This window comes from Homo sapiens, chromosome 11 (genome assembly GCF_000001405.40).
Source record: "Homo sapiens chromosome 11, GRCh38.p14 Primary Assembly".
NCBI classification, from domain to species: Eukaryota; Metazoa; Chordata; class Mammalia; order Primates; family Hominidae; genus Homo; species Homo sapiens.
In genome coordinates, this window is record NC_000011.10 from 60,087,785 (window position 1) to 60,099,125 (window position 11,341).

Consider the following 11,341-nt stretch of genomic DNA (forward strand, 5'->3'; position numbering starts at 1 on the left):
GTTATGTTTATAATTAAACTGAAATAAAAGAGATTAAAACCTTCTCTGAATTTTATCTGTACTGATTTTGCTATGGTCTAGCTAGTTATGGTATTTCAATGATCACATGGTTTAGCCCTAATTCTAATTTAGGCATACTACTCAATCCAATGCTGTTTAGATTTGCTCATGGGATTTGTTATAAAGTTCATGTCTCTCAGTGTTCTCACTATCCCATTCTTGCCACTGTAAAGATCTAAGCACCATCAGTCTAATAATTTAGCAGACAATGGAGTCTTCTTAGCTTTTACACACTATCAGGTATGGTTCACAGCAGTTAGAATGCAGCCTGTTGTATTTCCAAGACCATCTGCTGCAGCGAATCATGTAAACAGTTTCCAAAAGACGGAAAGAGAGAGAAAGATGATAGATATTAAAGTCAGAGATGGATCTGGAGATTTAGAGACTAACACATACTCACTCACATACAACAGCACTTCAGTTTTGGGTCTATGTGTGAAACCAAGCATGCCTTAAACAAGGAAGACAAGCTTTTCAAAGGTGCAATTGGATAACTTCTGCCATAGAAATGGCTGAATTGGGACACAAGTGGGGACAATTCCAGAAGAAGGGCACATCTCTTTCTTTTCTGCAGTTCTTTCTCACCTTCTCAACTCCTACTAAAATGTCTCATTTTCAGGTTCTGTAAATCCTGCTAGTCTCAGGCAAAATTATGCTCCAGGAGTCTCAAATTTTCTTATTTCATATTAGTCTTTATTTAGTAGACTTCTTAATTTTTCTATTCATCACAAGTAAAAGCCTGTTGATCTTAATCAGCCAAGAAACTTATCTGTCTGGCAAATGACTTATGTATAAAGAGAATCATCAATGTCATGAGGTAACCCATTTCAACTGCCTATTCAGAGCATGCAGTAAGAGGAAATCCACCAAGTCTCAATATAATAATATTCTTTATTCCTGGACAGCTCGGTTAATGAAAAAATGGACACAGAAAGTAATAGGAGAGCAAATCTTGCTCTCCCACAGGAGCCTTCCAGGTAGGTACAAGGTATTATTTTTTTCTACCCTCAGTCACTTAGTGGCAGGGGAAGTCATAGTCACGGTGCTTAGGAGATGAAACTTTATTGATTTAGGCATGGATCCATCTAGTTTAATTAATATATTGGGTATGAGGAAGCTACTTGCTGTACTTTCCATGTGGTTCTCTCTCCCTGGAGAGGAACATTTTTACTCAGCTTGCAAACTGGAAATAGATTTTCTCACATTAGAAGCTCATTTTCTGGGTATGAGACAGGAGAGTTCATACTGTGTATGTAGATCTCTGGCTTCTGGGTCTGACATGTGCTGAGGGACACATATCCTTCACACATGCTTTTATAAATACTTGATAAAGTAACCTGCTTCTTGATTGGTCTTTATAATCCATAAGCTGTGGGATGCTTCTCTGAAGATGAAAATAGTAATAGAGTCCCATCTAGCTATTCAAAGCCATTCCTTCATTGTATTCTGTGCACATGAAGTTGGGGTTTGTTACTGACAAAATATATTCAGATACATTTCTATGTTAAAAGGATTGTGAGATGCATAGGTAAATGTGTTTATTTTCAGTTTTACTTGTCAACATAGATGAATGAGAAAGAACTTGAAAGTAACACTGGATTAAGAATAGGAAAATTTGGCATGGATTTTGCTCCATTTTGTCCCATCTAATCACTTGGATAGTGTTCAGGTGTTCTTGGTCAGTTACTTGGATGCTCTGAGCTTTAGTTTCTTGGTGATTACAATGAAGATTTGAATTACAGGATGGCTTTGAAAAAATAAACAAAACTCCCCTTTCTGTCTGTCGAGAATGTTGCACAGGGAGTTACAGAATGTTCTCATGACTGAATTGCTTTTAAATTTCACAGTGTGCCTGCATTTGAAGTCTTGGAAATATCTCCCCAGGAAGTATCTTCAGGCAGACTATTGAAGTCGGCCTCATCCCCACCACTGCATACATGGCTGACAGTTTTGAAAAAAGAGCAGGAGTTCCTGGGGGTGAGTGAGCCTCCTCCAACTTTGACTAGAGTAAGGGTTGGGTCTAGAAAAGAATATTGAGTTGCATCAACTGTTTTCCCACTTGGATTCATGAGAGGTGTTAGGTCCTTTAAAAAACATGGTAGATAAAGAGTTGACACTAACTGGGTCCTTTTGGGAAGAGAGAAGCATTTCCTCATAAAGACTTTAAATTGCTAGGACGAGAATGGCCAACAGGAGTGAAGGATTCATAATCTTTATCTTTACTTAGATGTAAAGAACAATTACTGATGTTCAACATGACTACGTACATAAAGGCGCATGGAGAAAAGTATTGGCCTTCCATGCATTAGGTAGTGCTTGTATCAATTCTTATAGTGGCTAGGGTATCCTGGAAAATCTTACGTGTGGATCATTTCTCAGGACAGTCTAGGACACTAACGCAGTTTCTCATGTTTGGCTTCTATTATTAAAAAATGATACAATCTCGGGAAAATTTTTTTGATTTTCATGAAATTCATGTGTTTTTCTATAGGTAACACAAATTCTGACTGCTATGATATGCCTTTGTTTTGGAACAGTTGTCTGCTCTGTACTTGATATTTCACACATTGAGGGAGACATTTTTTCATCATTTAAAGCAGGTTATCCATTCTGGGGAGCCATATTTGTGAGTATATATCTATAATTGTTTCTGAAATAACACTGAACATAGGTTTTTCTCTTTCTCAGATCTAACCAGTTGTTTATTCCCAGTATTAACATGATATTTATAATTCTTAATTATAAATTATATGTGAGCATATATAACATAGATATGCTCATTAACAACAACAAAAGATTCTTTTTACAATTAACGGTGGGTTAAACATTTAGCCCACAGTTTTATCCCATGAGAAACCTGAATCTAATACAAGTTAAATGACTTGCCTAAGGGCCACTTGACTAATAGTAATTGAACCTAAACTTTCAGAATCCAACTCCAGGAACATACTTCTAGCACTATTCATCAATAAAGTTATATGATAAATACATACAACTTTATCTGTCAACTAAAAATAACAACAAAGGCTGGGCATGGTGGCTCACACCCGTAATCCCAGCACTTTGGGAGGCTGAGGCAGGTGGATCACCTGAGGTCAGGAGTTTGAGACCAGCCTGACCAACATGGTGAAACCTCATCTCTACTAAATATAAAAAATTAGCTGAGTGTGATAGTGCATGCCTGTAATCCCAGCTACTTAAGAGGCTGAGGCAGGAGGCTTGTTTGAACCTGGAAGGCAGAGGTTGCAGTGAGCTGAGATTGTGCCATTGCACTCCAGCCTGGGCAATAAGAGCGAAACTCTGTCTCAAAATAATAATAATAATAATAGAAAATAAAGTTGTCTTCATGAAAAATGAGGAAAGAGATTGCTGGGGTGAGAAACATTAAGATCAAAGGGCATATGGTGACCTTCTATGCCCTAGAAACTCTTTTAGGTATTTTCTCCTGGTATCTCTTTTACTCATCGTTCTATCTGGAAAAATAGGTGGATGAGTGAGATAATAAGGTATATAACTTTTTAAAGGTCTAATTGACATATAATAAATTGCAAGTATTTCAGATGTACAATTTGCTAACCTTGACACACATAGACACACATGAAAACATCACCACATTAATACAATGTATGTATCCATCATTTCCAAAAGCTTCCCTGTGTATCTTTGTAACTCTTTCTTCCTCCCTCCACTCCTTGTCCTCTCGTTCCCAAGAAAACATTGATCTGCTTTCTGTGAATATAAATTAACTTACATTTTTTAGAGCTTTATATAAGTATGTTCTCTTTACTGTTTGTCTTCCTTCGCTGCACAGTTATTTTGAGATTCTTCAAGTTTTTTCTTTATATCGATACTTCATTCACAAGAATATATTTTAATTCTAGACTATGTCACATTGACTTTGTAGTCTGCTAAATCCTTAGTGCTCAGATGACTTGTTCAGGACTCTCCTTGAACCTGTACCTCTGTTATAATTGAAACTTGTCTCTACTGTCTTTTTATTTCAAACACAGCTTATGAGGTGTCTCTCAACCCATCAAACTCACAATCTGAGTCTTTAGGAGATTGCTTTGAATTTGTGCTATTGACTTATATTTATATCAAATATGTAAATGTTTGGTAAAAATATCATCATGTACATTTTCATAATTACTCTATATTCACATGATATATGTCAGACTCTGGAAATATGCATGCCACAGACACGTGTTTCTTGCCTAAAGGGGCTGATGGAAGACGCACATACAAATAGACGATTGCAATAGAATGAGAGTGGTGGTCTAATCGATTCATGCCCTGATGTTGCTGGACGTTGCTACTCCAAGAGTAACCCCTGCATTGTCAGGGTTAGCATCTCCTGGAAGCCTCATGTAAATGAAGAATTTCATGCTCCATCCAGGACCTAATGAATAAGAATCTGCATTTTAGCAAGACCCTCATATGATTCATATACACTTTTTTTTTTTTTTTTTAGATGGAGTCTCACTCTTGTCGCCCAGGCTGGAGTGCAATGGCATGATCTTGGCTCACTGCAACCTCTGCCTCCCGGGTTCAAGTGATTCTCCTGTCTCAGCCTCCCTAGTAGCTGGGACTACAGGTGCATGCCACAGTGGCTGGCTAATTTTTGTATTTTTAGTAGAGACAGGGTTTCACCATTTTGGTCAGGCTGGTCTTGAACTCATGACCTCCGGTGATTCCCCCGCCTCGGCTTCCCAAAGTGCTGGGATTACAGACATGAGCCACCACACCCAGCCTTATTCGTATACACATTTAATTCTGAGAAGCACTCTATAGAAAATAAGAATAAGAAAATATTGGGCTCACAGGTGACATTAATAAGTAACTTTATCGAGTACCCCAAATGTTACCTATGTTTGGAAGATGGGGTTAAAAAGGACACATTGAAAACAAGAAACTCATTGTGGCTTTTTTTTCCTCCTTTTTGAACAGTTTTCTATTTCTGGAATGTTGTCAATTATATCTGAAAGGAGAAATGCAACATATCTGGTGAGTTGCCCGTTTCTGTCTTTGTCCATCCTTGAAAAGATAAGAAGAACAGAGTTTTAAGAGTCTTAAGGGAAACACATCTTTGTCTCCTATATTACTTGTGAATGTGGATATATGATTTTGTTTCAATCTATTTTGTGTCCTAAGGCTTTTTGCAACAGAAGTTGGATATAATCATTAGAAACATAAATTGTACCATTTAACATACAATGAAGTTTATGTTTACCTTGACGTTTCTTCTAAAAAAAGTGTCCTCACACCGGCATTGTCCTTGTAGGCATATTCACATGATCAAATAAATAATTAGTTTTCAATTAAGGAGAATATTTGAGGAAAGACCGTACGTGTTCATGTGGTTCCTGAAGGCAGTCCAGTGAGAAAGTAATATATGCTCATTAAACAATGCGGACATTTTCAGGGTTTCCCTTTTTAACCAAAATTTGGAAGCAATGTGGAATTTACTGGATGCATCCAGCCCTGAAATGAAGATAGGTTTATTGAATGTGCCAGCAAGTGCAGGCCCAGGTCTGAGTGTTCTTCATTATTATCAGGTGAGAGGAAGCCTGGGAGCAAACACTGCCAGCAGCATAGCTGGGGGAACGGGAATTACCATCCTGATCATCAACCTGAAGAAGAGCTTGGCCTATATCCACATCCACAGTTGCCAGAAATTTTTTGAGACCAAGTGCTTTATGGCTTCCTTTTCCACTGTATGTATTTTTTTTTGTGTGGGAAGACTAAGATTCTGGGTCCTAATGTAAGTAAGAAGCCCTCTTCTCCTGTTCCATGAACACCATCCTTTTCTGTAACTTCTATTACACAGTATAGTGGTTCTGTAAGTTCACACAGCCCAGGGAGATGCTGGCTGCCCACTCCCCTCAACCCAGGCAAATTCCTCGGGGTTAAAGTTATCTACTGCAAGTGACGATCTCTGGGTTTTTCTGTGCCTGTGTTTGTGTGTGTGTGTGTGTGTGTGTGTGTGTGTGTGTATGTGTCACTTTAAAAGGACTGGTCAGATGGTAGGGAGATGAAAACAGGAGATGCTATAAGAAAATAAACTTTTGGGGCGAATACCATGTGACTCTTTTTGTTTGTCATTTGTTGCTGTTCAATAGGAAATTGTAGTGATGATGCTGTTTCTCACCATTCTGGGACTTGGTAGTGCTGTGTCACTCACAATCTGTGGAGCTGGGGAAGAACTCAAAGGAAACAAGGTAGATAGAAGCCCGATATAAAATCTTGAATGACAGGTTAACGAATTGGAGCTTTATTCCTTAAAAATATGGCCTGGGTTTTCTGAAACATTTCTTCCAGAAAATAGTTTCTCCAAGTTTTATTACTTTGGTTTACAAATCTCACATTTTAAATCACATTTTATACCCATAAGTAGCACACATTTCATAATATATCCCTCTGAATGAGGGTTGGGATAATAGGATCTGTATAATGTTAGAAAATGCCTTAAAGTGTGTGGAGCATGAGAGATGGATGTGCAGAAGGCTTGTGAGGAAACCACCCAGGTATCTGGCCTTGTTTTCTGCCCCAGAAGTAGCCGCCTATTCCTGTTTCTGTTTTATTCCTTTGTTTCTTGACTTTTCCTTTCCAACTTGCTCTAAAACCTCAGTTTTCTTTCCTTTCTGATTCATGACTACCAAATGTTTCCACTTGCCTCACCCGTCCATTACACCTTTGATAAGAACCACCAGCACCTTGTGCTCATGTACTTGCCCATGTCTGATGGAAGAAACATACTCTCTCCATCTGTCCACTTTCCTGAGGCATTCAAGTCTAGCCACCTTTTAAAATCACTCTCCTCCAGGCTGGGCACGGTGGCTCACGCCTGTAATCTCAGCACTTTGTGAGGCTGAGGAGGGCGGATCACTTGAAGTCAGGAGTTCAAAACCAGCCTGGCCAAATGGCAAAACCAAATCTTCAATTAAAACCAAATCTTAAACCAAATCTCTACTAAAAAATACAACAAAACAAAACAACAACAACAAAAACAGAAAAGGAAACATTAGCCCAGCGTGGTGGCAGGTACCTGAGGTTCCAGATACTTGGGAGGCTGAAGCAGGAGAATCGCTTGAGCCCAAGAGATGGAGGTTGCAGTGAGCCGAGATCATGCCACTGCACCACAGCCAGGGTGACAGAGCCATACTTCCCAGCACATTGGGAGGCCAAAGCTGAAGAATAATTTGAGGTGAGGATTTGGAGACCAGCCTGGCCAACATGGTGAAACTCCGTCTGTACTAAAAATATAAAACTTAGTGGGGCATGGGGGCACACACCTGTAATTTCAGCTACTTAGGAGGCTGAGGCAGGAGAATTGCTTGAACCCGGGAGGCGGAAGTTGCAGTGAGCCAAGATCGTGGCCACTGCACTCCAGCCTGGGTGACATAGTGAGATTCTGTCTCAAAAAAAATAAAAGAAATTTAAAAAATCACTCTCTTCCAAAGATAGATAAATAAGACAGCAGATATACTAAGGAATAACCTCACCAACTTGTCATTGACTGACATGATTTCTTTTGGGCCCACTTGGCCAGCTAGTCTGGTTTGGTTTTCTGGAAATGAAAGAAATAATCAGAGTTTAATGACAGAGAGCGTGAGACCCAGAAAGACAAAAGTAGATGAGGTAAGTCTCTTGAGCGAGACTTCTAGGGATGGGAAATTTGTGGTGATTGATATGAAATGATTTTTCCCTTATCAGGTTCCAGAGGATCGTGTTTATGAAGAATTAAACATATATTCAGCTACTTACAGTGAGTTGGAAGACCCAGGGGAAATGTCTCCTCCCATTGATTTATAAGAATCACGTGTCCAGAACACTCTGATTCACAGCCAAGGATCCAGAAGGCCAAGGTCTTGTTAAGGGGCTACTGGAAAAATTTCTATTCTCTCCACAGCCTGCTGGTTTTACATTAGATTTATTCGCCTGATAAGAATATTTTGTTTCTGCTGCTTCTGTCCACCTTAATATTCTCCTTCTATTTGTAGATATGATAGACTCCTATTTTTCTTGTTTTATATTATGACCACACACATCTCTGCTGGAAAGTCAACATGTAGTAAGCAAGATTTAACTGTTTGATTATAACTGTGCAAATACAGAAAAAAAGAAGGCTGGCTGAAAGTTGAGTTAAACTTTGACAGTTTGATAATATTTGGTTCTTAGGGTTTTTTTTTTTTTTTAGCATTCTTAATAGTTACAGTTGGGCATGATTTGTACCATCCACCCATACCCACACAGTCACAGTCACACACACATATGTATTACTTACACTATATATAACTTCCTATGCAAATATTTTACCACCAGTCAATAATACATTTTTGCCAAGACATGAAGTTTTATAAAGATCTGTATAATTGCCTGAATCACCAGCACATTCACTGACATGATATTATTTGCAGATTGACAAGTAGGAAGTGGGGAATTTTATTAAGTTACTCGTTGTCTGGGGAGGTAAATAGGTTAAAAACAGGGAAATTATAAGTGCAGAGATTAACATTTCACAAATGTTTAGTGAAACATTTGTGAAAAAAGAAGACTAAATTAAGACCTGAGCTGAAATAAAGTGAGTGGAAATGGAAATAATGGTTATATCTAAAACATGTAGAAAAAGAGTAACTGGTAGATTTTGTTAACAAATTAAAGAATAAAGTTAGACAAGCAACTGGTTGACTAATACATTAAGCGTTTGAGTCTAAGATGAAAGGAGAACACTGGTTATGTTGATAGAATGATAAAAAGGGTCGGGCGCGGAGGCTCACGCCTGTAATCCCAGCCCTTTGGGAGGCCGAGGTGGGCAGATCACGAAGTCAGTAGTTTGAGACCAGCCTGGCCAACATAGTGAAACCCCGTCTCTACTAAAAATACAAAAAAAAAATTAGCTGGGTGTGGTGGCAGTCACCTGTAGTCCCAGCTACTTGGGAGGCTGAGGCAGGAGAATCGCTTCAACCTGGGAGGCGGAGGTTGCAGTGAGCCGAGATCGCACCAGTGCACTCCAGCCTTGGTGACAATGGGAGACTCCATCTCAAAAAAAAAAAAAAAAAAAAAAAAGATAAAAAGTCAGAAATCTGAAAAGTGGAGGAAGAGTACAAATAGACCTAAATTAAGCTCATTTTTAGGCTTTGATTTTGGGGAGACAAAGGGAAATGCAGCCATAGAGGGCCTGATGACATCCAATACAGAGTTCTGGTAAAGATAAAATTTGATACAGGTTTGGTGTCATTATAAGAGAAATCATTATTAAATGAAGCAAGTTAACACTCTAAGAGAATTATTTTGAGATAGAAGTGAAGCTAAGCTAAACTTCACATGCCTATAATTGGAGGGAAAAACTAAGGATAAAATCTAGCCTAGAAGATACAATAATTAGTCATAAACATGCATTGTGAAACTGTAGAGAGCAGGTAGCCCAAAATAGAGAAAGATTAGATAAAGAGAAAATAAGTATCCATCAGAGACAGTATCTCTAGGCTTGGGCAAGAGAAAAGTCCACAGTGATAAGCAACTCCACCTAAGGCATGAATATGCGGCAGAGAAAACAGCAATAGTGAATGAATGCAAAAGGTGCTGAGAAATTCCACACATGAGTATTGTGATGAGTAAATGAATAAAACATTTGCAAAGACCTTTAGAGAAAGAGAATGGGAGCATATGTGAGAAATAAGATAGTTGATTATGAATAGAAGGTAGTGAAGAAAAGCAAGCTAAGAAAAAATTCTGTTTATAAAAGAAGGAAAAGATAGTTTATGTTTTTAGCCTAAGTATAAGAGTCCTACAGATGGACTGAAAAAAATCAGTCTGAGAGTATTAGTCACAATTAATGAAATAATTACATTTTATGTATTGAGGATGCCAAGATTAAAAGGTGACAGGTAGATGTTAATTTCCCTAGATTGTGAAAGTGATCACGACAATCACACAACAAATAATTAAGTGACTTGGTATGCTTTATTTAATTGTAGGGCCTGAGGTTTTCCATTCTCATTTTTCTAAAATACAATTTTGTTTCTCCAAATTTGACAGCAGAATAAAAACCCTACCCTTTCACTGTGTATCATGCTAAGCTGCATCTCTACTCTTGATCATCTGTAGGTATTAATCACATCACTTCCATGGCATGGATGTTCACATACAGACTCTTAACCCTGGTTTACCAGGACCTCTAGGAGTGGATCCAATCTATATCTTTACAGTTGTATAGTATATGATATCTCTTTTATTTCACTCAATTTATATTTTCATCATTGACTACATATTTCTTATACACAACACACAATTTATGAATTTTTTCTCAAGATCATTCTGAGAGTTGCCCCACCCTACCTGCCTTTTATAGTATGCCCACCTCAGGCAGACACAGAGCACAATGCTGGGGTTCTCTTCACACTATCACTGCCCCAAATTGTCTTTCTAAATTTCAACTTCAATGTCATCTTCTCCATGAAGACCACTGAATGAACACCTTTTCATCCAGCCTTAATTTCTTGCTCCATAACTACTCTATCCCACGATGCAGTATTGTATCATTAATTATTAGTGTGCTTGTGACCTCCTTATGTATTCTCAATTACCTGTATTTGTGCAATAAATTGGAATAATGTAACTTGATTTCTTATCTGTGTTTGTGTTGGCATGCAAGATTTAGGTACTTATCAAAGATAATGGGGAATTAAGGCATCAATAAAATGATGCCAAAGACCAAGAGCAGTTTCTGAAGTCCTCCTTTTCATCAGCTCTTTATCAAACAGAACACTCTATAAACAACCCATAGCCAGAAAACAGGATGTAGGAACAATCACCAGCACACTCTATAAACAACCCATAGCCAGAAAACAGAATGTAGGGACAATCACCAGCCATCTTTTGTCAATAATTGATGGAATAGAGTTGAAAGGAAACTGGAGCATGAGTCATATTTGACCAGTCAGTCCTCACTCTTATTTACTTGCTATGTAAACTTGAGAAAGTTTTTTCTCCTTGTGAACCTCAGGTTTTACATCTGAAAATGAGAAATTTGGAACAAAAGATTCCTAACTGGTCTTTCTGTTCCCATATTCTGTGATTTTTCAATATTTAGGATTTTTGGTAATCACAATTACTTAGTTTGTGGTTGAGATAGCAACAGCAATCAGAACTATTTGGTGGACATATTTTCAAAGGAGTAGCTCTCCACTTTGGGTAAAGAAGTGATGCCGGTCGTGGTGGCTCACGCCTGTAATCCCAGCACTTTGGGAGGCCAAGGCGGGTGGATCACGAGGTCAGGAGA

At 38.4% G+C, this 11,341-nt stretch overlaps 1 protein-coding gene across 5 annotated transcripts; it reads left to right on the forward strand.

Moving 5' to 3' along the window:
- Window positions 475-10,683, forward strand: MS4A2 (membrane spanning 4-domains A2). 5 transcript variants are annotated; one of them, XM_005273846.5, is made up of 8 exons: window positions 475-877; window positions 966-1,037; window positions 1,908-2,037; window positions 2,552-2,686; window positions 5,008-5,064; window positions 5,616-5,774; window positions 6,180-6,278; window positions 7,774-10,683. In XM_005273846.5, the coding sequence occupies exons 1-8, from the start codon at window positions 873-875 to the stop codon at window positions 7,870-7,872; spliced, it is 756 nt and encodes a 251-aa protein (XP_005273903.1). In that variant the 5' UTR covers window positions 475-872; the 3' UTR covers window positions 7,873-10,683. The 5 variants fall into 5 exon arrangements, with proteins under 5 accessions (XP_005273903.1, XP_011543152.1, XP_016872851.1 ...); XM_011544850.3 differs by having other exon boundaries at window positions 475-540; XM_017017362.2 differs by lacking the exon at window positions 7,774-10,683 and having other exon boundaries at window positions 5,616-5,821; window positions 6,180-6,273.